General features: G+C 37.1%; 1 long non-coding RNA gene across 1 annotated transcript in view; it reads right to left on the reverse strand.

Annotated features, from left to right (window-relative positions):
- MIR924HG (MIR924 host gene) overlaps window positions 1–26681 on the reverse strand; it is a 545072-nt gene that overhangs the window by 255637 nt on the left and 262754 nt on the right. The gene's annotated exons all lie outside the window — the stretch shown is intronic.

Below are 26681 nucleotides of genomic sequence, written 5' to 3' on the forward strand. Positions count from 1 at the left end.
GCTCTGTCTCTCTCTGTCATATATTAGAGAGAGAGAATGAGATGACAAACAGGATATATGTTCTGTTTCTCTAGAAAACCATGACTAATACAATAAGTAAAAGGGCATGAGAAAATACTGTGAGGGCTGATGACTGTTCTGTTCTACGGCAGGCCAGGAAGCTGAGCTATCAGGTTAGTGCTAAATGGTCAGAGAAATACACCCTAGAAATATGAAATCCATGATACATATTTGAGTTGTCAAGGCTAGTAGCCCACAGGATCCATTTTGATTTTGACATTATCTGGGTATGTATAGATCAGATTCTTTTGTATCATGTGGTCGTATACAAGTTTTCCTTAGGTGGGCTAATTAATATTATCTTCCTGAAGCTCAAGACCACCTTCACAGAGCCTCTGACATAAAAATTATTTCTTCTAGAACATTTCTGAAATGCTTATGTCCTCAGTTAGAAAACAAACTGCCTGAATGTAAGAATGTCATATTCCCTCTGTTTCCTGATAGTTTTCTCTTACAGTGCCCAACACAAAGCTGGCTGCACATACAGTAGGAACTTAACAAACACAAACATTAAATACTATCTGAGAAATTGTACAGAGAATGCACAGTTAGGAGACTAACCTCCACATCTTCAGATGGCAGTGGTGCTGTGTTCTGAGTGGTTCCTCTAGTGAGTGTTCAACTTTGGGTGCTGGTAGGACCAGTAGGGAACATCAGTGACTCTTTCTCAGTAACCTCACAGGGTTATGGACAATTCAGGAGAAGTAATGCCATCAAAGACCAAAAAGACTCCCTCTTTGCAGGAAGGGAACTTTGTTGATTTTCTTCCAATAGGAAAATGCTCCCTTAGTTTTGAACTGAAAATAAATGCTAACAATAATATTCCTATGGGTTTGACTTTTTTAATATGACATGAGAAATGGCAATTAGATGGATTCCTGATGCTGATGAATGGACATACATATACCTTCACTGAGGTAAAAAAAAAAAAAATAACCCAATACGAAACAAAAAAGGCAGTAGAGGTACCCATACATAGTCAAGTTGAACATAGGTATTTTAATCTAATAATTGACTATTTCATGAATCAAACACTTCTTAGTAATTTCAAAAGAAAGAGTATCTAGTTTACTTCTGATGAGGGTAAAGCTTTGCTTCATTTGACCAAAAGTGTTTAAGATTTGAACAATAATGTATAATATAGAAAGTGTTTAACAGCAACCTTTACCATTCTAACTAGTGCATAATATTGGTTTTGCAATCATTTAGTAATTATATAAGGAGGACATATTTATTACGAATTATTGATTTTATAATTACTGCTGCTGGTATTCACATTATTACACAATGAAAATCTTTTAATATACAATGCTCTTCACCCTCAGCTGGTGAACAGATAGTATAATGCAATTTAGAGAGTAGCCAAGAGTAGATTTTATTGGCATTTTTTTTTTTTGCCAGCCAGCTAAATGGTTGGCTTTCTGAAAAATATTGCTAATGGTGCTTAAGCAGAGAGGAATGTCCAATTTCAAGGTCATTCCTGGCAGTTGATTACAGTCATCCAATGAGCACAAGGTTCCTATTTAACTAAGTTATTTTTGCTGCACTCATTGCTGGGAATTAAAAGTTATGGCTGTAAATTTGCTGCCAGCTAAATAGACATCAAAGGCCAGTCATACACTGGATCATGACACATGAAGATATATCTCTTATGAAATTGATTTTTCTCCATGTGCAAGGCAGCTTTGCATTACTCCCCTTGTGGAGTTTAGCACAGGAAATGTCTAGGCAGGATGAGTTGTAATTGTCAGCATAGTTTATATTCTGGGCTGAGAACTCCTTTTATTATTTTTTTCCCTCTGTGAAGATGTGCAAAAAGAGGTTGTCTAAGCATATATTTTGATTTCACTTGCCAACAGATTGTGAATAGCTGATTTAAGGTCACTGTCACCCCCAAATGGGAAAAGATTAGGTTTCTGAGGACCAGAAATATTAAAAAGTCTGCCCAAACAATATTTGCTGCTCACCAGAATTCAAAATTGCTGATTTTCACCCCAGAAACATCCCATGGAGTTTTGTAAAGGTTGTAAGTCTATTATGCTGTTTTAATCCATCAGACTTTCACTATCTAAAGGATAAGAGCATCAGATAGAATTACATAAGCTTGATTAGTAATTTTTTCTCTTCTGGATATCCTGTTGCTATTACAGAGAGACCCATATTTTTTCACAAACAATGCAAATAGTGTTTAAATAAAATACCTGAGAATTCAAATTATATTTTAAATGTATTCAGTTAGGGTGCTATTTCTGGGCTTCCTACCTGTGATGGCTTTACAGGGCTGAATGCTGTGCATTTCACTGGTGTGATTGGGAACTTTAACATTAGAACCAATCATTGGAGATAGGAGATTGACTGACCCCAAATTCTCATCTTTCATCTGCAAAGTGAGGTTAGTTATTATATTTCATGGAGAAGTTACTCCAAATTCACCAGCCTGGCTTTTAAAGCCCTCTACAATGTCACCCTAACTTTACTTATCCAATTTGTCTCCCTCTATACTCCTCCCATTACAGTCAGGCTTAACTGCTTTGCTTCCTGCAGTGAGAACATATACATTTCCAGCCACTTGGAAGTTTCCATCACCTGAAAAATTCACATATTTTCTCTCTCCCTCTCCTCCTACTTTCCCTCATGCTCTCCTTTCTGCATACCCATTTGTTGACAATCTCTCACATACCAGTTCAAGACCCATGTCCTTCAGGAATCTTTCTCCCCTTTGTAAATTTGTACCCTTCACTCAGAGACTTAATCATATTCTAATTCTTTTGTCTACCTGCTTTATGTGTTGATTTGCAGTTGTTTCTCCAACTAAAGAAGATACAGCTGGCCCTTGTATCTGGGGTTCCGCATCCTGGGATCAACCAATCTTCAGGTTGAAAATACAGTATTAACATGATCCAGAACCAGTGGATATGATGGGCCATCTTTTCATATCAACAAGCTCCACAGCAGAGCCTACTGTAGGGTTTGAATACTCATGAATTTTGGTATTCACTGGGGGTCCTGGTTCCTCATGAATACTAAGGAATGACTCTACTTTTTTCTTTTTTTTCGGGATGAAGAATGCTGTCTGCTCCTTTGTGAACATGTGGCTTGGCCCACAGCAGTATTCAGTTAACCCTTTAAAAAATAAATTCAGTGGAATTGAATTCTGAGAAGTGGGATTGTAGCTGTTAATAACTAAGATAAGGAACATTCTGTGATGTGTTCTATCACACCATGATGATCCTTAACTTGATACAGTGATGACATCTTTATTAGCTACACTTTGGTAATTAATGTAGGACTTAGGAGACAACCACCCTCCCCTGCAACTTAGGGTGAAGAAAAGTACCTACAATTTTTCTTTTTTTTTCTTTCTCCTTTTTTTTTTTTTTTTTTTTGGAGACGGAGTCTCTCTCTGTTGCCCAGGCTGGAGGGCAGTGGCATGATCTCGACTCATTGCAACCTCTGCCTCCTGAATTCAAGCAATTCTCCTTGCCTCAGCCTCTCAAGTAGCTAAGATTACAGGCACATGCCACCAGGCCCACCTATTTTTTGTATTTTTTAGTAGAGGCGGGGTTTTGCTATATTGGCCAGGCTGGTGTTGAACTCCTGACTTCAGGTGATCTGCCAGCCTCAGCCTCCCAAAGTATCGGGAGCACAGGAGTGAGCTACCATGCCTGTCCTCCTACAATGCTTTGAATATGCCAAGTACTGAGCTAGATAGAAGATATTTTTTATTTTACCTAAACCTGAAAATAATTTTCTGAGGTAGATATTATAATTCCCATTTTATAGACAGAAAAATGGGATTTAGAGAAATTAGGTAAGCTAGCTGATATGGTTTGTCTGTGTCCCCACCCAAATCTCATCTTAAATTATAGTTTCTATAACCCCCACATGTAGTGGGAGGGACCCAGTGGGAGGTAATTTAATCATGGGGCCAGTTCCCCTCATGCTGTTTTCTTGATAGTGAGTGAGTTGCCATGAGATCTGATGGTTTTATAAGGGGCTTTCCCCCTTTTCCTTGGCACTTTTCCTTACCTGCTGCCATGTGAAGAATGTTGTTTGCTTCCCCTTTCACCATAATTGTAAGTTTCCTGAGGCCTCCCCAGCCAAGCTCAACTGTAAGTCAATTAAACCTCTTTTCTTTATAAATTACTCGGTCTCAGGTATGTCTTTATTAGCGGCATGAGAACAGACTAATATAGTAGCCAAGGTCATAAAACTAGCAAAAAATTTAGCAAATGTTTGAATCTGACCTTGAAGTTCATGTTCTTTTCCACATTGCCTTTCTTGATATTCTAGTATATGCACACAAGGTGCTTTATAAATGTTAAATGAATAAAATATATAGTTTAATGAAGTTTTCAAAAAGGGCATATTATATCATTTTGTCACTATTAGTAGCATGCTCATCATTCTCACTTCTTTAGGTGACATCTTCACTCATTTCTATCCATGTGAATACAAACAGCCTTTCAGACACCATCAGCAGTCTCACCTCCAAAATCAAAACTTTATGGCTATTTTAGATCATATTCATCTCATTGTTTATACATCACAAATTATTATTTTATATCTTTATTTCAAAAATATTTTGGTTCTGAGTGATTTTCTTTGTAACTTCATAATTAAAGTTAAGTTTATTCCAGATTAGAAATGGGGAAACTGATGCTAAGGGTCCAGAATGTTTTCTGAAGACCACTTAAAATAAGTGAGCCTTGGACCTAATTGATTTCTAACTCTGGCCAAGCTCAGTCTTCTTTGTTTTATATAGCTCCATGGTTGGAATCCAAACACTCTTACACTCATACAACTCACACCCATGCACACACACATATACACACAAACACACACACCTTTTAAAGTAAGCTCAGTCATCTAATATCCTAACTTAGAGTCTATCCAGTTCAGGATTATGATGCTGGAAACAGCAAGGAAGGATGAGTTAGGTTTGTACAGCCCTCAATTTGATTGTGCAGTTACTTGATTGTATCATATAAATCTATTTCCTCACAATATCATTTAGTTACTTGAACTAGAATCCATGCCATTAATTTTTTAACACTTAGAACTCAACATATTGCAAGAAATATAAAAGATACTCAAGAGATATTAATTGTTTAATTGAGGCATCTGACACTACCTCTGTCATGGCTCACATCAACAGATGAATACATATGAGACTTCCAAGAAGGTATTTCCTTATAACACAACACCAGAGAAGACAGTTGCATATAGGCTTCATAAGGTAGAATGAAAGACAGTTTTTCTCCAAAATGTGAGGGCATCAGCAACAACTAGGAATATTGTTAAAACCTTGATGGCCTCTACATCACCTCCTACTAATTTAAGAAGAATCATGTGAACAGAAGTATTGAATAGGAAATGTGGAGTCCACCTTCCAGAGTCAAATAATGAACTTTCCTCCTTGTAAAAGAAAGTGTCAGTGGACAAGCATTTTATTTATTATTTCTAATTCCCCTACTTCTTTTGAGTATCTACCTTTCAGCAGAGAGAAGAGCTCAGTCCTTACCACTCTCCCCCACTAAAGAGACAGAAAGAGTGAGAAATATTAAATGTGATATTATAGGCTGCTCTGAAATGTAGATATGTTTGCTCTTTCTCATCTTTGTAATCCCATATTTCAGTGAATTCATTCATTCTATTCATATTTATTTGGCATCTACTCTAAGCCAGGCACTCTTCCATACACCATGGATATAGAAATAAAGAGGACAAAAATAACCCTGATATCAGAAATTTCAGATTCTGTTGAGCAAGACAGACACAAAAGTAAAAATAATAATTATTAGTATTATTATTTAAGAGTGAAAGTTAATAAAATGTAAAAAAGAAAAAAGGTAAATTTTGTGAAGATAGGAAGCCAGGGTGATGACAGAGAAGAATCCCTGGGATGCATGGGCTGTTTTAGATGAGGTCATCTGAAGAGGCTCTTAAGAGTGAAGGAGCTAGGCATAAAATTTCTGGAGCCACAGAGTTCCAGACAGGGAGTAGCAGGGATGAAAGGCCTAACATAGGAACAAGTTGCAGTGGTGCTCAATAAAAAATTTAAAAATTCAATGGGCTAATGGTTGAATAACAGGAGATAATGGTTTGAAATGAGATCAGCAGGGGCCAGAAGAGGTAAAGTTTTATGATGACAGCAAGGAGTAGATAATTATTTGAGGTATAATTGGAAGCCATTGGAATGTTTTAAAGAAATAAATGATATGTGCTTATTCGTCAGTTGAGTGTGCACAAGGTTCTACTCTCTGGCTGACACTGTGGACAGTACAATCATGGTATAGTCAGTGGATTTTCCAATCCTCTTCTTAAGATTCTAAAGCAAAAATCAGCATGTAGAAGAAATTTTACTAACGTGTTCACCTCATAAAAATCTTTGCAGAATCTAGATGTGTGTATTTACCTATGAATGTACATGTATTATTATATACATAATATATAATTATATATTTTAGGAAGATATTCACACACTTATAGGAAGTACCAAGATAGAAGATATATCCAGGAAGAATCTTCTAAATATCTCCAATCAAGCTATTTTTGGGGGTTTATGACAAAGTGGAACATGCTTCGCTTCCGTTTACTTACACAGTTTCAAGAGCAGCTTATTACCATTGTATTTTCCAAAATAGATTTTTATTTTCCCATCCCGTAAAAATGTGATTTTTATTTATATACCTTTCATTTGTCTCCAGATGTTCAACTTGGTGACACTCAATCAAACTAATGAATTATGAAATGAAATGAATAGTAAGTCAACTTTCCCAAATCACTGGGAAAGAAGGCAATACAAAGTTCATTACTGAAATTCCAGGATGGTGAAGTTTTTCACATATAACTTGCCCCAGTGTCAGCCTCTTCAAATTTGAGAACTGATTAATCCTCTGAAGTGTCATATCATGTAGCCACAAAATCTGGTGCAAGGAGGGGTGTTGAACATTTTACACACCAGTCTGACATTACTTAGGAAGTGAGGTGATTTGGTGAAAGATACTATAGAAATGGGGAACTACTATTTACCTCAAATTGGCACACAGAATCACTTTTGAAGTCTTCTGATATTTCAACCATCTCACTTTCAAAACAGATGCTCCTGAAACTCCTTTCTAGGGTAGAAGGACATATAAAATGTCATCTAATCGATGTCTCCTCTCTTGTTAACCTGCCTATTGAGCTAGCCTATTCATTATGTATGTATATTTTGAAAAGCTTTTCTGAAAAAATACCCATGTTCCTTGAAAATACATCCCACAATTTCCACTGCTTCTATCAAAATTCATTCTTTCAATGATAATGTAGTGAAAGGAATGATGAATTGAAAATTCACTGTTTTCAGTTTTTGCCATATTTCTGCCAAGTTGAATAGAATGTGTTATGTTAGGCATATCACTTCTCTCCCTAGGATACAGTTACATTATTTGCAGAATAAGGAAACTGGATTACTTGATTTACAAAGGATGGTCTACCCCAAATATGGTTCTCTTTGTCTTGATTGATTGATTAGATTTAATTAATTAATTAATTAGATTTTTGTTTTTAGAGACATGGTCTGGCTCTGTCACTCAGGCTGGAGTGCAGTGGCATGTTATAACTCACTGCAGCCTCAAACTCCTGGGTTCAAGTGATCCCCCCACCTCAACCTCCTGGGTACCTAAGACTACAGGTGCATGCCACCACCACACCCAGCTAATTAAAAAAAAAAATTAATTTTTTTGTAGAGATGGGGTCTTGCTATGTTGCCCCAAGATGGTCTCAAACTCAAATGGTCCTCCCATCTCAGCCTATCAAACTGATGAGATTACATAACCAGCCCAATTTTATTTGTTTGCTCCCATCTATCACATACAAAGAGGCCATGGAAAGGGTCTTCTTATTTACATTTATTATAGTGTTTTGTTTACATGAAGATTAAAATAGATGTGCCACTCTATATTTTATTTTCCTTTAAGGGAAAATACTGAGTATACTTTAATTAAGCATCACAACTTCAGCAAACCATTTTATTATAAAGTAGGAATGCCAAGCCGGGGAGAAAATTATGCAGAATAGTCCTTCCTTCCTGATACTGCTATGAATACCTCCCCCTCTTGCCAATCCAAAGAGATTCCGAAGGCATCATGAGAGCTGGTGATTCTAGTCAGTGCTTTGTTTTTTATTGCTTTTCACTTTTTATTTCTGTTTATGTCTTTTAAAGTATCCCTATGCTCTTTAGCTTTCAGACCAAGTCTTAATCTGACAACCCAGAGTCCACTTGCAATGAGTTAAAGGAGATCAATACTATTTTCGACAGACTTAACACTATCCTTCTCAAGATGCCGGGTTTAATGGAAGATTAAATGTGGCAGCATAACTTTTGATTATCTGTGTGACACAATTTGGTAAAATAGCAGATCACTCAGAAATCATTCATATTTGGCCTTGAGACGTATTACAGGATGCATCTTTGATCTCCCTCTCTAATTATGTTTCACTTTGGTCTAATGTCAAAGAAACTAATTTGCATTCCCAAAGCACGTACTAAGTAACAACAGAGGAAGAGGACTTAGAAAAAAGCAAGGGAGAGAGGACCAGAATAAGCTTTTCAAATGCCTTAGAGAATTCATAAAGTAAATGTGTACGTAAATAGTCCAGATTTCATTAAATTTGCCCTTTGTTCTGTAGGCCAACTTCTCTTTCTTAAAATTATTTCCATTCCTCTCCTCCCCAAAACCAAAGTCATTGAAGATCAACAAATAAGCATGAATGTTGTGAGTACCTTCTATAAATAGATAATTACAGAGAATGCATGTTGAGAAAACAAGTTCCTTGCCATTCAGAATCTTCCAATCAATGCTGACACATGAAACTAAAACATATGCAGTGTAGAAAATAGGAGTTGACAGGGCACAAAAATATCATATAATAATTAATTGTTCAGTTGTTGTGGTGCAGCACATTCTCACTAGAACAGATTAAAGGAGGAGATCAGTGAGAACTGCTAGAGTTTTGAACGTCTTCACAGGAATATTTGAAATGGTGTTTAAAGGCTCAGCAGGATTTGAATAAATAGAAAGAAGAGTAAGAACATTCCAGATTACAGTGTCCAGAAAGAAAATGATATGAAAATGCATTATGCAATACAAATATTCATTATATAGGGACAGAAACTGGGAAATCTCAATTTATTTTACCCATAAATTTCAAATAAAGAATTTTGAATGAAGACATTACCTAGAAAATTTGAAATGAAAAATGGGTAAATTTCCCTAGACGACAGTATATGTCAGTTGTTGAAATTCACTGCCTCCTTCCAGTTATGGACTGTAGCTGGATTTAAAAGAATTCTAAATTCAAACAACATTTGAAGTTTTGTGCTAAGATGGAGGGAGCAAATCCGATGCGCTAGGGCATCAGGTTTTTTGCTGTAGGGCCATGAGGAGGATTTGCACCCAGTTTCATTGCCCCATAACATCAAGAAGAAGCTGTGTTCAACATCGAGCTATCGATGTCCTGCTTGAACATAGCCATAGGAAAAAAAAAAAAAAAAGATTCTATGGATTTTTCTCACTTTCCTGCAGACTCAGAGAATCTTCCCAAAACCCCTGTTGTCTTAAATTCTTGACATTGAGACCAAAAGGAGAAGTGATGCCAGTAATGAGAACCTCGTTGCTTTTTAGAAAATATAATGATGAACTATGTTTCTCACATATTTCCCTAGCTATAGATGTAGATCCTCTGAGATGTTGAGTTTTGCATGATGCCCAGGAGCAGAGAGAGGAAAGAGATGTGATGGGAGGGCGCTAGAGGAGTAAATTTTTTTAAAAAAACAAATCATGATATCCTCCTATCCTTAAATAACTTATCAACTATTTGCAGAGACAAGGTAGCTGAATAAGACACACATAAAATATAAACACGTAAAGTGTAAAAGAAAAAAAGGTAACAGAGACAATAATAGACAATAAGGTAAGTCTGAAATGAGACAATATGGCATGAAAAAAATTAGTTAATGCCAAACTATGTGGAAAAGACTTTGTCATGGAAGGAGGAAATTACTGCTTTGAACAGCTTATTTGGTGATAAGATGTGAAATGAACTAAAAAGGCCATACCAGGTTTGGAATTATGGAATCATATGAGTCCTCTTATTTAGTCCCCAAAATTTTTCCATGAGTTAAATATCTTTTTTCTCAATTTACAAGTAGTGAGGTTGAGGTTTAGCGAGGTTAATCAATTTGTTCAAGATCACACAATTATGTAATTGGTAGAATTAAAATTACAGCCTAGGTGTGTCTAACTTCAAAGTGTTTGCTTTTCCCCTCTCATGAGCGGGGCTTGAGGGGATATTGAGAATGACTACTATTGCTGGGGATCATTTTCAAAATTATCAGAGCTTAAGATGACTCTAATTCGATCTCCATGTCATGAAGAGAGAGATATACAGAGGCAGAGACAAAATAAAATAGGACAGACACAGAACGAAAAAAAAACAGGATCAGAGGAAGAAAATGAGACTATCATGAGCCAGGTGAAATAGTTTTCATTTTGTTTAAGGAATTCAATATATCTTATCATCATCATACCAGTCAGTAAATAGACAATGTTAAATGTATTAAAGAATTTTTTTTTAAAAATTCTCAACCAGAATAGGTCTTTTTCATTTCTAATATTGAGTATGGCTAGCTGCTACATGTCTCAGATGAGTTTAGTATCGTATGCTTATGTCATTGGTTTCCAGACACATGGGAGTTTTTTGTTTTGTTTTTGTTTTTTTGTGTGTGTTTTTGTTTGTTTGTTTGTTTGAGACAGAGTTTTGCTCTTGTTGCCCAGGCTGTAGTGCAATGATCTCCGCTCACTGCAACCTCTGCCGCCTCAGCTTCCCTAGTAGCTAGGATTACAGGTGACTGCCACCACGCCCGGCTAATTTTTGTACTTTTAATAGAGACGGGGTTTCATCATATTGGTCAGGCTGGTCTTGAACTCCTCACTTCAGGTGATCCGCCCAACTCGGCCTCCCAAAGTGCTGGGGTTCAGGCGCGAGTCACCGTGCCTGACCACATGGAAGCTTTTAAAAAACCGTACTGCTGGAGGCCGGGCGCGGTGGCTCACGCCTGTAATCCCAGCACTTTGAGAGGCCGGGCGGGCAGATCACGAGGTCAGGAGATCTAGACCATCCTGGCTAACACGGTGAAACCCCGTCTCTATTAAAAATACAAAAAAAATAGCCGGGCATGGTGGTGGGCGCCTGTAGTCCTAGCTACTCGGGAGGCTGAGGCAGGAGAATAACTTGAACCTGGGGGGCGGAGCCTGCAGTGAGTGGAGATCGCACCACTGTACTCCAGCCTGGGCGACAGTGTGAGACTCCGTCTTAAAAACAAAAAAGAAAGAAAAAAGAAAAAGAAAAAAAAAATCCTACTGCCAAGGGATGACATCGCTTACCAATTAAATCAGAAAGTTACAGTAGGAGTCGGGCATAGTAGTTTTTAAAGATTCCCAGGTGATTCTAATGTGCAAGACATTTAAGGACCAGTGGTTTACTTAATCATTCAGTTAATTTTCTTTAATCCTAAATTTATCTTAATTTTTTTTTCTTTTTTTCTTGAGACGGAATCTCGCTCTGTCACTCAGGCTGGAGTGCAGTGGCGCGATCAGGGCTCACTGCAAGCTCCGCCTCCCGGGTTCACGCCACTCTCCTACCTCAGCCTCCGGAGTAGCTGGGACTACAGGCGCCCACTACCACGCCCGGCTAATTTTTTGTATTTTTAGTAGAGACGGGGTTTCACCGTGTTAGCCAGGATGGTCTCGATCTCCTGACCTTGTGATCTGCCCGCCTTGGCCTCCCAAAGTGCTGGGATTACAGGCATGAGCCCTTAATTTTCTATTATTCTAAAATAGGTGGATGCCAGATAAATATTCTTGAACTAAAGTTTTAAAGTCTATTTAGACCTTCGAAAACCAGCTCTGCCACCTCTTTGAGAACATTATTTAACATTTTTAAATATTTGTTTCCTCATCTGTAGATAAATAACAACTACCTTCCAATGTTCTCTGGTATTGAATGAGAAGATAAGTGGACAAGATCGAGCACAATACCTACTATATGGTGCTCAGATCACATTGGCTCCGATTTTTCTTGCCTCCACTCCACCTAGTTTAATGAGGGAATTGAGTCCACAAAACAAAAGCAACTTGTCCCAGGTTCCAGAGCTACTTAAAGCATGGCAAAGCCCAGAAGTTTTCAAGTATCTCTCTTTCAACCGTTGCTTTCACTATAAAACATTAAAGGCAGTGTGGAGAAAATAACAGTAGCAATAACTGAGAGAAATAAATAAACTGCTGAATGGCTTTCCACTCTCCTACCTGAGAGTCTCCAATGTTGCCATGAATACAGCTATAACGTGCTTAATAAGCCTCAACGTGCATGTATGTACACACACACACACACACACACACACACACACACACACACACACATCTCAGCATGCTTCCCAGGCTGGCATTGAACTCCTGGCCTCAAGTGGTCCTCCCACCTCAGCCTCTCAAGTAGCTAGAGCAACAGGTGTGCATCAACCACCTTGCCCGTCTGGTCTATATTTTACGTCCTGGACTTTTGCACCATCTTTTCTGTGCAGCCTGATTTCTGTATTGAAAACTTCTAACATCCAGACTATTTATGCCTCACGTTTTTCTTCCCACTCAGATATTCCTTCTACCTTAATACTACTTTTTATCAGAATGTGATTTACCTTTTGAGGACCAAGTGAAAATCTATTTGGTCTACCAAAATAATTCTTTTCTTTTTCTTTCAACTTTTATTTTAGAATCAGAAAGTACATGTGCAGATTTGTTAGAAAGTTATATTATGTAATCCTGAGCTTTGGGGTACAATTGAACCCATCATCCAGGTAGTGAGCAGAGTACTCAAAAGGTAGTTTTTAAGCCCTTGCACCCCACCCTTTCCCCTTTAGTAGTCCCCAGTGTCTATTATTTCGTATTTATGTTCACATGTACCCCATGTTTAGCTCCCATCTTATTAGGCTTAGTGGTATAGTACTAAGGACACCGGGCTTGAAGTTGAAAATACTCTGTTTTAATTCAGGTGTTCACCACTTTCCTCCCCTGAATTGGAGGAGGGGAAAAAATATTAAATGCAACACATCACAGGCATGTTTTGAGGATTTCTCAAATAAATATTAAAGAAAAAGCTTTGCAGAGCACAAATAAGTCAGCAAACTTCGGGTAGAGTGTCACAATTAATGAGAACAACACATCACAAATTAGATTTTTTTACAAGTAGATTTATAGTTTATTTCTATATATGAAATGTAAGATAACTACCAGGAAAAAAAGCAATTAGGAAATTCAGGGTTAGTAAGTGACCATCTTTAAATCAAGTTTCTATCTATTTTGGAGAATATGGTTATTTCTTCTTATTCAGTTAGTTATGTCAAATCTACAATTCATTCAGCCAGTGTAGACTCAGTCTCATAGTTTTAAACTAGAGCTTGTCATTCATTTCCTCAATGACCTTGGGCAAGTCACTTAATTTCTCCACATCTCAATTTCTTTGTCTGTAAAATTGGGATAATAATCTTGACCTCGCAGAGAGGTTGCATGAATTAACTGATTAATGATTATAAAGCAATTTGAAAATACAGAACACTATATAAATGCTAAGTATTGTTATTAAGCAAATCAATTCAGAAAATCAAGATAATGACATTTCTTTTCAATCTATTTCTTAAAGTGCTTAACGCCTTTGCATCTAAGCTTCATGTTGTAAAAAAGCAGTTTAAATATTTATAACTTGAAGTTTTCTAATTTAACCAGTTCCTACTGCATATCAGGGAATAATAATGGAGGAAAAAATCTCATAAACTGAGAACCTGAATTTCTCATTTTTTTTTAATTTTTGGTAATATCTAGTTTAATTTTTAAAAATAGCCACCTATCTATCTATATTTATATCTATCTATCTATCTATCTATCTATCTATCTATCTATCTATCATCTATCTATCTATCTAATCTATCCATCTGTATCATCCATTTGCTGGAATTTTGAAATTTCAGAGCTAAAGTGGACATTATATTCCAATTCACTTGCTTTACTTATCTGGAGAAAGTATTTGTATTGAGACATGAAGTGATTTGCTCAAGTTTGCAAGGGTGATTTGTGCCAGAACTGATCTCTATCCTTAATCTTTGGCTGTCTGGCCTTAATTCAGGTGCAGAGCAAATAATAAAAGAGAGAAACAGTAGCCCTACCTTCATGGATTTTACTTGAGAAGACTTATAAAACTGATAGAGGGAAAAGCTATGATTAATTCATGTGAACTTTAACAACAACATGAAATAACTGGATCAGTTCCTAATTTATCAATTGTAGATTTTGTCTACGCAACTTTGGAGGTATAAGACTACTAGACCTGGCCATTGTGACACTTTTAACTTTCAACCATCACTTCACTTAACTTTGACACTTTTCCTTAAAATGCAGGTGAATACAAGAATTAGGTTTCAGGTTTTATATATATATTCTGATATATATATATAATATAACCTGAGATATATATATAAATATATATATATATTTATATATATTAATATATATAAATATATATTAATATATATTAATATATATAAATATATATAAATATATATAAATATATAAATATATATAAATATATAAATATATATAAATATATAAATATATATATAAATATATATAAATATATATAAATATATATACACACATACATACACATATACATTTTAAATAAAGATATATTTTGTATAGAGTGCTGATTTTCAATTAAAATATTCCAGTTCTATGTCCAGCTCAGGCTACTACCTATGTAGCCTTAAGCAGCCATATCCTTTCACTGATGCCAGTTCCCTAATTTATTAAAGAAAAAGTCAGGATAGAAACCTGCTTAAGTCTCTCAGTGCTAAAGTTCAAAATACTGTGGCATCTGAAGTCAGAGTTGAGAGTTCCTCAGGTAGATACTGGATTCTGAATAGGTCATAGACAATAAATCTGATTGTAAAACCAGTCACACTTTAAACCAAATGCTCATTTGAGGTTTCCTATCTTCATAGAATAAATTTGCAGAATGTTAATGCTGAAAGGAATATTAGAGATCATTTAGTCTGATTCCCTCATTTTATGATGAGAAAACTGAAGTCTTGAAATATTAAGTAAATAGTCCAAGGTCACCAAGTCAGTCCATGAGGAAGCCAGGTCTAAAACCCAGGTTTTCACAAATCCCAGTTGTCTGTACTTTCTTCTAAATCATTAATTGAAATGACACCGGGGTAAATGACACCTTTCCTTTGAGGTTAGGACTTTTATAAACAAAAAAAGAATCAAATATTAAAATATTGCTTCTTCTGGTTGTCTTTCTTTCACTCTTCACATGTGTTTGTTCTGAAGACATAGCATTTAAAAGAGGGTACTACCTGTAGAATAATAAGGCTCAAATGTCATAGTGTCTAAATATCATAAATACCTACCTTTCCCTTCGATGGTCTGTTGATAACAGGTTTCATGCATTTTTTTTTGCTGCACGAGTTGGGAGAAATCTGTTGTCTGCTTCCCTTGCATGTTTGCATTAAGCAATAAATACAGCCTTCACTTGCTCAACTATGGCTTTTCATAGCAATCCAAAAGATCAAGATCTGTTTAAGAAAGGGTTTAGTACCATTCTCAAAGTACATTGGCTCACTGAAATAAATGTTGCTGAGTTGACATCCTCTATTGAGCCATTTAAAGTATACTTTACCATCAGAGGAAGTCTCCACTTTGGCCCTTGAGGGCTTCTAAACTAGTTCTCATCACAACTAGGTAGGTTTGTGAATGTCTGAAGACCTGAAGAACCTGGCAGAAAAGCTTCACACCCATTGTAATGAAATATGAGGGAGGAACCTTAATTAGAATCCTCCCTTTGCAAAAGCTAGTAACCAAGAATGTGGAAATGCCATGTAGATCTAGATATATGAATATCCTTTGGTACCAGATGATGTTTACATCTTTACTGTATATAATGCTTGGTGTTCAAGTATGCAGTATGTTAGTGTGGTTGATTACACAGTTTCACTGCAAGATGATACAAAAATAAGAAGCTACCATGTAAAGGGCCAGTCACTGAGAAACTTGTATTTATTTTCCAAAAGTTGGATCAGGTAGAACAGATATTTTGCCATTAATTCATCAGATTAGAAACCAATAGTTTGAAATGCTACGTTCATCAATCCTGAGTTCTCTCTTAAGATTGATCAACCCCACAATCTCCATTTCAATCTCTCATGGAGACCTCGAACTTGAAATATCTTAAACTTAACTCATCATCTTCTAAGTAAATCCTTTTTGTAGTTAATTAATTAATTTCCATAGGTTACCAATATATGAATGTCAATGCAATGTGATTTGTGCTTTCTAAGAAATAGTTTTTAAAATCCTATATTTTTGGATGCCTGAAATTTCAGCATATGAACGTCATCTCTCCTACAAATTTATATTTCTGGAAAGGTATCAAATCATCTGCCATTTACAATTAGAATGAATGAATTTATTTGAAAATATTCTAGTATAATTTTTGATGATAAAAAGGGGAAACAGGAGAAAGAAGGCATCACGGAGGATATAAGCATGTGCATGCATATGTGTGTATGTGTACTCACTTATGTTTTGGGATATGATGAGAAATCAAGAGAAGGTTCTAACAGTAAAACTTATCTACAGTCCTCTGCCTCCCAAAGACCTTGCTCTTCCTGTTTTGAAAGAGCTGTTCACCGGATCAGTAGTCCTCAGACCTCTCTGCATCAGAAGTGTGGATACCCATGCCCAATTCCCCCAGAAAGTCTGATTCTATTGAATTAGGATGGTGCTCTGTCTCAGAATTTAAGAAAAAATACTCTGCAGGTAACCCTATTGGATATCTGGAATTGAGAACCACTTCCCCCAAACCCTCCATGGTCCTGCTTCCATCATCAACTTCTGGCTTCCTCCCACCTTTGTATCTAATCACTTTTTTTATGTGTTGATGTAAGAAGTGTCCCTCTAGAGTTAGTTGCCCTTTCAACAACATGATGAAGCTGGAGGCTGATTTTCACTGTCTGCATCTCCTCCAAGTTTCAGAGTTTACAGCATGTGATTAAACATAAATGCTTACCACCAGTTTACCACTACCTCCATTTGAGAGGATGCACTTCAGCCCTGAGCTGATAGGCATGCAGTGTTCCTCCAAACATTAACACTTGAGACCAGTAAAACTAAGTTAGTTGCCCAAGCCATTTTGGGATAGGCTCCTTGTGAGAATCTGCGGAGTGCCACCACCTTGTCTCTGTATTGAAACATTCACATGTTTCTAATTAGCTGCAGCCCAATAGAATCATGATAAAAACAACAACAACAACAAAAAAAAAAAAAAAAAAAACAAAAAAAAAACGGGCTTTGAATTTGAGCATGGGCTTTAAAATCTGGCCTCTGTTACTCACCGATGGCATGACAATGGGCAAAGCACGTAATCTTTGTGAGTCTTCAGTTTTCTCATCTCTTAATTAAGGGTTGCAATACTCACCTCTGAGTTTCAGTGAAGGTCATATGAAATTGTGTATGTAAGTCATTTTGCACAGCACCTGGCCACTGCAAATGCTCAGCAAATAGAAGTTATAGTGATAGTAATTGCTAGTAAAAATAATCCTTAAGAAGGACTAATAAGTTCTAGGTAGGTATAACTTTGAGAAAGTGCAGAATTGCTGGCAGTATATCAGGGCAACCAAGACATTTCTCCCTTCATATCACCTTATATGTGTCTGTTTTCATCTACATAAATGGTATATAAATATTATGGAGCTGGTCTTAAGAAATACATAAAAATTAACGATAGTAAATTAAGCAACAAAAAGAGGGGTAGTCAACTGAACAGCAAATGTATGAAAAATATCATTGAGGACTAAGAACAAAGAGTTACATTGTGATGCAGAAACCCAACTTTTGCTCATTTTGCTGCGCCTGTTTGGATGGCTTACAACCAGTCCTGCTTACTGGCTCTCTGGAGATGACTGTCAACAGCTGGCTGCTATACAGTGCTATGCAGGAGTAAGTAAGACCCATCCTACCCTGCTGGTATCAGTGAAGGAAAGACCAGAAGGACTGTATTTGGAGACTGGAAATTTTTATTACTAAGATTGTCTTCTGACCCATATTGACCTTTGCACACGAGAGCAGAAAAGACCCACACTTGGTCACCATGCCCTCCTAATTGAGGAGTGCTGCTTTATGTAGCTTAAGTGCCAGAATAGGAGTGTAGAATCTCGGGTGCTCACAGATTCACAGTAGGAAGCCCACAACAGCTTGCATTTGTCACCTATACCCTGTTTTACATAGACAAGTCATAACATTGGCTCCAGCATGCAACACATATAACTCTAAGCTTGGTTTTGGCAGGAAAATGAAAATGAAAAAAAGACATCCACCCTTTCCTTATGGAATGTAAACACCTCACTGCTGGGCAGAAATTTACATCAGATTGTCATCTTTGTAAGGAAATGAATATAAATTACTCATCAGAAACATATATATTTTTTCTCAATATTTGAATGACACGTTGAACCTGCTAATCAAATTGTCCTTGATTTCTCAATATATACATTTCTCTCTCAGTCTCATATAATATAAACTGGATAGATAATGTAGTTTTTTTTTTCTTAACTTCCTGGATTATTAATTTAAATGTGTCATTTTGAGCAGATTGCGAGCTACTACAATAAAGTTTGAGAGCAAGGCTGAGTAATCATATTGCACAGGGGTCTAATGGTAAACAGGGACATTGAGAAGGAACATGGAGGAGCAGGGGCCAGGTTTTAATGGAGCCACTTCCTCAGCGTGTGCTACTCGACCTAGTTTCTGCTTCATACAGTCCAGCTTATGCAACTAGGTAAAAAGCAGGCTGTGGATGAAAACCAGATAATGTTTCTCGGTTGAGATTTCCACAGCAAATAAATTATGAAATTAAAAAAGATAAATGCTCACATATGGATTGTGCAACTCATAAAGAATCAGATTCGGCCGGGCGCGGTGGCTCACGCCTGTAATCCCAGCACTTTGGGAGGCCGAGGCGGGTGGATCATGAGGTCAGGAGATCGAGACCATCCTGGCTAACAAGGTGAAACCCCGTCTCTACTAAAAATACAAAAAATTAGCCGGGCGCGGTGGCGGGCGCCTGTAGTCCCAGCTACTCGGGAGGCTGAGGCAGGAGAATGGCGTGAACCCGGGAAGCGGAGCTTGCAGTGAGCCGAGATTGCGCCACTGCAGTCCGCAGTCCGACCTGGGCGACAGAGCGAGACTCCGTCTCAAAAAAAAAAAAAAAAAAAAAAAAAAAAAAAGAATCAGATTCATAGACTGTTAGGTTTTTATGCACAACTATTTACATTCAATTATTCAGTCAATGCCATGGAGACAGGGTTACAAGATTGAAAGATGAATATTTTCTGTTACCCGTCTCTGTGTGTGTGTGTGTGTGTGTGTGTGTGTGTGTGTGTGTGTGTTTTAACATAACAAGAAACTGCTACCTGGATATCAAGAAGCAATCATCTTGCAGTTAATATGAAAGATAAAAACAAAACAAAACATATCTTCATCACAGCTATCCAAGCAGAACATCAATGACTAAACAAATGGCAAGCCCAAATTAAATCAAAAGGCAATAACAAGAAAAAGAGTGTGGGAGCCATAGATCATTGCACAGGGAGGTCAGTGAGCTCTCAAAGCCTGAGGAGATGACCTGCCCTGAAAAACCCATATAGGTGTCTCCTGTCCCTTCACCAGGCTGAGAATCATAAAGAGCCTAAGGAAGTTGAGTCTCTTTTAATAGGAATCAGCTAATGCCCAGCTGAAAGCCAGTTCTGACTTCAAGGAGCCAGGGAAGCCATGTGTCTCCAAACACCTTCCCATAGTCAGTGAGTGCCTGAACCTGGAAAGCCCAAGGTGAGACCCTGAGCCCTGTTAAAAGGCAAAACTTCTTTGTAAGCCATTTACTCCTCAGCGGAACCTAGTGGATGTCAAAGACGACTTCAAATCAGGAAGAGCAAGGAAGTTCCCATCTTCACCCACCCTTTGTCCGTTGTGTCTAGTTGAAACCACTAAGGAGCAAACAAAGACTGGAGACTCAAATATAACCCTAAAATTTGCCCCTAGGATCACTGAGACCAGAGGGCATGCAAAATCAGTTGAAGTTTCTTCCATTGCTGTGCCTTTTTCCTTTTGGAGTTCCAAGGTCTAAATAACTGCATAAAACAAATCAAGGGAAAATAGGGCCCAGCTGCCTGTGGCCTTTGTTGATGAATAGCGCTCTAAGTCAGTCACTCAGCTGTTTTATTACTTGTCTTTAAGGCTGATGAGTCCCAAGCAGACCTGCATCACTGAATTCTCAATAAAGGGTTAGTGCTTGTCCTGCAGAATAATAAGAACCGCTAATGACACCAATTAAGAGCTGTAAATGTCATTTATACTTGTCTGTTATTTTTCAAATCAATAAGGCTGGAAAGACACAGCAGCCTGAGATAATTTAGATTGGAACAGTTTGTGGGGACATTTTAATGGATATATTGCAATCGGGATTCTTGTTCTCCTTTTGGAGAAACTGTGTTTCTCATTGGGTTAATTCTAATACTTATTTAAAGCAGAACTTTCACTTCAAATAATTAAATATAGGGGAGACTATTTAAGGCAATGAAAGACAAGTATATACATGTCTGCATTCTGTTCATTAAATTCCTTGTTGGAAAGTGCACCCATCTCACGTGAGAAAGTATTGTTAAATGGGATAAAAAATAATAAAAATTTAAAAAAAAATGTATAAAGAAAGAAAAAATAGTAGTGCAGACTACAGCAGTATATTCTGACACTGGAGGAATGTCAGGGGCACATGTTTTTATAAGGTTCTTATTCTTTTGCCAAAAGTAAGTAGTAGACTTGTAATTGGTTCATTCATAAGATTGTACAAGTTATACATAAGATGTTTTGTTTGTTTTGCTGAAATATGAGGCTGTTGGTCAGAACTCTAGATAAGTCTCTTTCTTTATTTCCAAAAGTGGCACAAGAGTCTCATTTCTCACTTGGGCCCTGTTCTAGCCAGAGAAAACTATTAAACATTTCACTGACAAGACTGCAACCAGGGACAGACAGCCCATCTCCATAAAACAACAGAGTGGTGCCAATCATCACAACCAAAGGGACATCTCACCAGAGAGTTTGAGAATAGCTTACCAAGCTAACTTCTGGGTATTTGTGAATGCATTCTTAAATTTTTCTATTATAATTGGGAATGTTAACAAAAGATGATAAAAAAAGGCATGTAAAATTCCAAATTACCTGTCTTGCATGTCTACCTCTACACTTGTTCCTCTATAAGTAGGTTTTCCACTTTGTTTCAAAAGTAAGACTTAAGTGGTTAATCTTTTGAAGGTTTATTTTTAATTACTTTTAATAGAACAGTAAAATCACCAAGTTGGGGGAAAAAAAGATTTAAAAGACATTTTGGGAAATTGCTGTTTACACAATCAATAATCATTTTATGTAAATGTCTACTTGACAATAAAATAATTAGTCAAAAACTGAATATTTTACATACTCAATTTATTGTGGCTACCTCGCAATCATTGCCCAGTTTGATTACCTACATTGAAGATAGCATGGGCATTGAAGAAGTAAGTTACAACTTCTTAATTTTAAAAATTAAACTGACCAATTTTTAAAATAAAACAGATAACAATGCAGTGGGAGAAAATAAAGGGTATAGAAAGTATATTCTAGCCGTATATCTTTTCTGGTTGATTTATTGATATACATACACTGTTCTTTTTTTGAGTTTTGACAGTGTGATGTCATGAATAGGAGAAATGCAGGGAGAAAAACATATTTAGATGTCTGGTATGCTGTTTTCCGAATCATTTAATACAGATTTGATACAAAGCTTGATCTTGTCAGTGTTCTCAAGCTTGTCTTTGTTTTAAATAATGCAACCTTTATATCCACAAATTGTCTCTAACTTACCTCACCACTCAGAGTTCTACTATTCCATTAAATATTTTTAATTTTCTTAATTGGCCAAATTTACCTACTCATTCTCCTCAAATATTTCCCACATTTTCCCACATGTCATTGCCTCCAGAATGTCTTCTTATCTACCCTATCTTCATCTATGAAAATTTTAGCCTCCATAGACAGCACAGACTTTAGCCAGTTTGCAAGGCATTACTTGATTAAACCAGTTGGAAATAGTTTTATGTCAGTCATTCATTCACTTGTTCAACACACATTTACTGATGGTTTACTATGTGCCAGGCATTGTGGTAGGCTCTGCCCTCCCTTAAAAATATTAGTTTTATATTTGGACCAACCACATGGCTCTTGATATATTCTGCTGAATGTTATAGCAATTTGCACGTGGATTTTATCTCAGCACAGTAGGGTAAGTTCCTTGAGGGCTGAGGCTTTGCTTTAGTCATTTTTGAACTTACTGAATTGCTTATTATGGTATCTTTCTTAGAAGAAATGAATGAAAGAGCATCAAGCTATGTATATATAATTCCAAGACAATTGAACTGCTCAATTTGAGAGAAAAATAATCATATTAGGTAGCCATGTGCTAATTTAGATAAAGCAGTAAGTTGATTCACTTAATTTCTTATCCCCTGCTTATCTGGATATTGTTAAAAATGGCATTCAATGATTTTTCTCACTTGAATTTTTTTTTTTTGTCAAAGGACAATCAGGATGCTCCAATAAATAAACAGAATCAAGAAGACCTAGTATTGAGATATGGTTTGGTGTTTGTTTTTAACACATATGTGTACTCTACAAGACACTTGTGTCAATGGCTGGGAGTGACAAAACTGAATGCAAAGGTGTATAGGATTCCTCTGCTTCATTTGGGCTGCAGAAATAAAGGAAACATAAATGACTTCTATAAGCCCAGTTACTCTCTGGTAAGCCCTAGAACAACCTAAACACAATCCCCAGTGGGCGGGTATATGGTGGTGTCTGATACTATCTAAAATGCTCAAGGCCATACAGAACTAGGTGGATAGAGGGAGCAAATTTGGCTCACCATTAGTGGATACCACATAGTTTCCTCTCAATGCTTCTTTTTCCTCCTCATTAATTTCCACTTTTTTTCTGCCTGAGGCTCCCTGAACTCACTCTTTCTCTATTCAAAAGAGATCCACTAGACAGCATCAGATAAACTCCCTTGCTCTTGGAATGGAGTTCATTTTCAGCATGACGAATAATTATCTCAAGGGATACATCACTCTCTGTGGAATGCCAGACCACAGAAAGTTGTGTGAGGCAGGACATTTTAAGGGCAAGCAGCCCTAAAATTAAAATTAAACTAATTAGGTAACTTCCATTTTAATCACCCTGTGAAAAGGTCATTGTGGCCAAGGGACTTAGGCACAAGATATCTGTTTGATGATTGCATTTACTCATTAGTTTTCTAAAGTTTAGGTACTAGTTTTGTTACTGACAAAGAATCCAATAAGGCCTGATGACCTCAATGGCAGAATGGACTTCCACTGTTCATATTATTTTCTCTTTGGGAAGAAATTTCCAACTACTTCCCCCTATATGGGGAGTCACAGGGTCACTAGTAAACAATATTCTCTGTTCAGGGAAGATTTATGTGAGTGTTCCTTCTCAGCTATCAAATGTAGGTCAAAGAGTCTCTCATTTCCTGAAGCAATGGCCCCTTCAGGGTCAGGGAGCTCATAAAACCATGTATAAAGCCAGATTGGGGATGACCAGAGAGAGGCAGAGATGGCAGTTGGCTGGAGAGCACAGACCCATCTCTAGGGGGCAGCTGTCCATTGCCATACCGGAATGCACGCTCAGTGTTGCCAGATTTTCACAAAAAGCCAGAAAATGGACGTTTTATTTAAAATCTCCTAATTTTCAAATGTTGGCTTAAAATATTAACATGTTGTTAAAGGTAAACTATGTCTGTGGGCCATATCCAGGCCATAGCCCACAAGTTTGCCACCTCTGATTTTTAAAAAGGTAAACTTGTGAGTTGGTATGGTGGTGCATGCCTTAAAGTCCCAGCTACTCCAAAGGCTAAAATGGGAGGACTGTTTGAGCATAGAAGTATGAGTTCCAGCCTGGCGAACATAGTGAGACTCTGTTTCTGTGTATATATATAGATATACATATCTATATATATATATGTGTGTGTGTATATATATATACACACACACACACACATATATATTAAATAAAGCAAATTTGTGGTGTGATAGAGTGTGTGTGGAGAGTCTGGGCCCTTAACCACTTTACTGCATTTCTCACAACCAGAGTAATTCTCATTTTCCCACCCCATCCACCCACCCACTTCCATCCCCAGCTCACTGGAGGCCCACATGGTCAATTTCCTTGTCAATGAACAAAGGGAAAACTATTTTTTGAAGGAGTGCCTTTTTAAATAATATAAGAAAAGGTTTTTAATTAGTGCCTCTGATCTTTTGAAGTTACCTTTCCCTAGATAAAAATTTAGTCACTACAACAAAAGAAGTAGTAGCCTTTACCTGCTTCTGTTCCTTATGCTTGTTTAATGATAAACACCATCTCCGCCAATTCTGTATTCAAGTGTTAAAAAGTAATGAAGGTTTTTCAATTGCCATTTATGACTGCAACGAAAAATTTGCTTCTGCATAAGGCTTGCCTATCCTTACTAAGTACTCAGTGATTTTTTCTTATTCTAATGCCCTTAATTAGATTTATAGACTCTTTACAGTGTTTTATGTTGATGAGGGACTTAGAATACAGCACACACTAATAAAATATCCCCACTACCCAACTTGTGCCTTTGCATGTTTTATTTCAGTGAATAATGAGTCTTAAATAATGTTCTGAATATGTTGTCAAGGATATTCTAAAGAAATATGGACTGATGATCCATCAGGAAACATTAATAAACACATAACCACATGGAATTGGTGACCGAGAGAAAGTGATTCATTGGGTCATAAACCATTAAAGAATTTGGGCCATGAATGCCTGCTACAAATAAAAATGTATTTAGAAAACAACAGTTATACATTCTCATTTTTTAATTACCTTTCTGTGACTTTTAGCTCGTGTAAATGTTTTAAAATTGAAGGTAATCATTGTATAACAGTCTCCATCCTGGGGTAAAGAAATTTACTCTACATAGTTTCCTTTTCACATGACACAGCCATTTTCATGGTTATAGCTAATTAGTTTCGTCTCGACATTAGATACGGAGGATGTTTAAGCAACGTAAACTAGCTGTCATCCAGCGGCATCATAATCAAAATAGCATAAAATTTGCCATAAAACCTGCAGCTAATAACATTTATAAGGCACCTTATTACATAAGGATATTGGAGAAGCTCAGACACTGTATATCACAATGCTTCCCTGGGGACCTGGTTCATTTTCCTAATGACTGTATATGGGTTTACTTTAGGATCTTTTATGCACCTGCCTGAGCACAGGGCTAACCCAGCCAGACTGATAAGAACTGAAGCAGAGTGAGGTCCAAACTAGATCTGCCTGAAAATGAATCAGCAATCTGGCTACCTTTGTTGTTCACTAGCTAAGCCTTCTCAGCATTTCGTGGTCATGCTGGTTTTAATATTCGTCCATGTTTTATTTGAAAATGCTGATACCCTGCTCTCCACCTAAGAGGCTTTTTTTTTTCTGTGCCCTACTCTTGTAGCCTTTATGCCTCACTCATCCTTGTAAGCTAACATCAAGCTATGTTTCCTCACAGAGATTTCCCTGTAACTCTAGCCCACATCAACGTTTACCTTTGAGCTTTTATCTGGCCTGCATAGTCAGGGTCCATTCTTGCCTCAATTCTTGCCTATTTTTTTCTTTTTAAAAAATTGAATACAACTTACAGCTCAATCTTACATCATCACCAAATCATAGAGAGTCAATCCTGGAAGTACATTAGGGCCACATGTTCCAACCTTAAATGATATTTGACCAGTCCTATTTGGGACTTCCTTTTCTCTTTCATTACCCATGGAACAGTCAGCTGCAGCATGAGAACTACGTTGCATTGATATTCAGGATGCTGCCCACAGTTCAATCTATTCACATGATTTCTTACTTGCTAATCTAGCTCCTGCCATTCCACCATGCTAGACCCTGCTTCTGGTGACCCTTTGTTGTCTGGAATACATTTTCTGAACAATGACTCAATCAATGGTTTCCAATAATAACTGTTGCCTAGAAGCCCTGCTCTCAATCCCACCCAGTCATTTCTCATGCAGCAACTTGAATATCAAACATAATCTGCATGGTGAAGATTTTTCTATTCCTCCCTCGGCTTAGTGATCCCACTCTGGGGAGGAGGACCAACCTTATTATCTGAACCATCTATCCTATCTCTACTCAGGGAAGTTTCTGAATGCCCTATAACTTGGATCCTGCCAACTATGATAATCAGTTTAGCTTATTTCCTATCATGCAATGTGTTACGTTATATGCTAGCCAGTTTGCTGATTATGTCCTGTATAAAGCTTGCCTTTTCTTTCTAACTAGATTATAAGCTTCTTATGAAGAAAGATGCTGTCATTATACTTCTTTATCAAAGCT

The sequence above is a fragment of the Homo sapiens genome, chromosome 18 (assembly GCF_000001405.40).
Source record: "Homo sapiens chromosome 18, GRCh38.p14 Primary Assembly".
In the NCBI taxonomy this organism is placed as follows: Eukaryota; Metazoa; Chordata; class Mammalia; order Primates; family Hominidae; genus Homo; species Homo sapiens.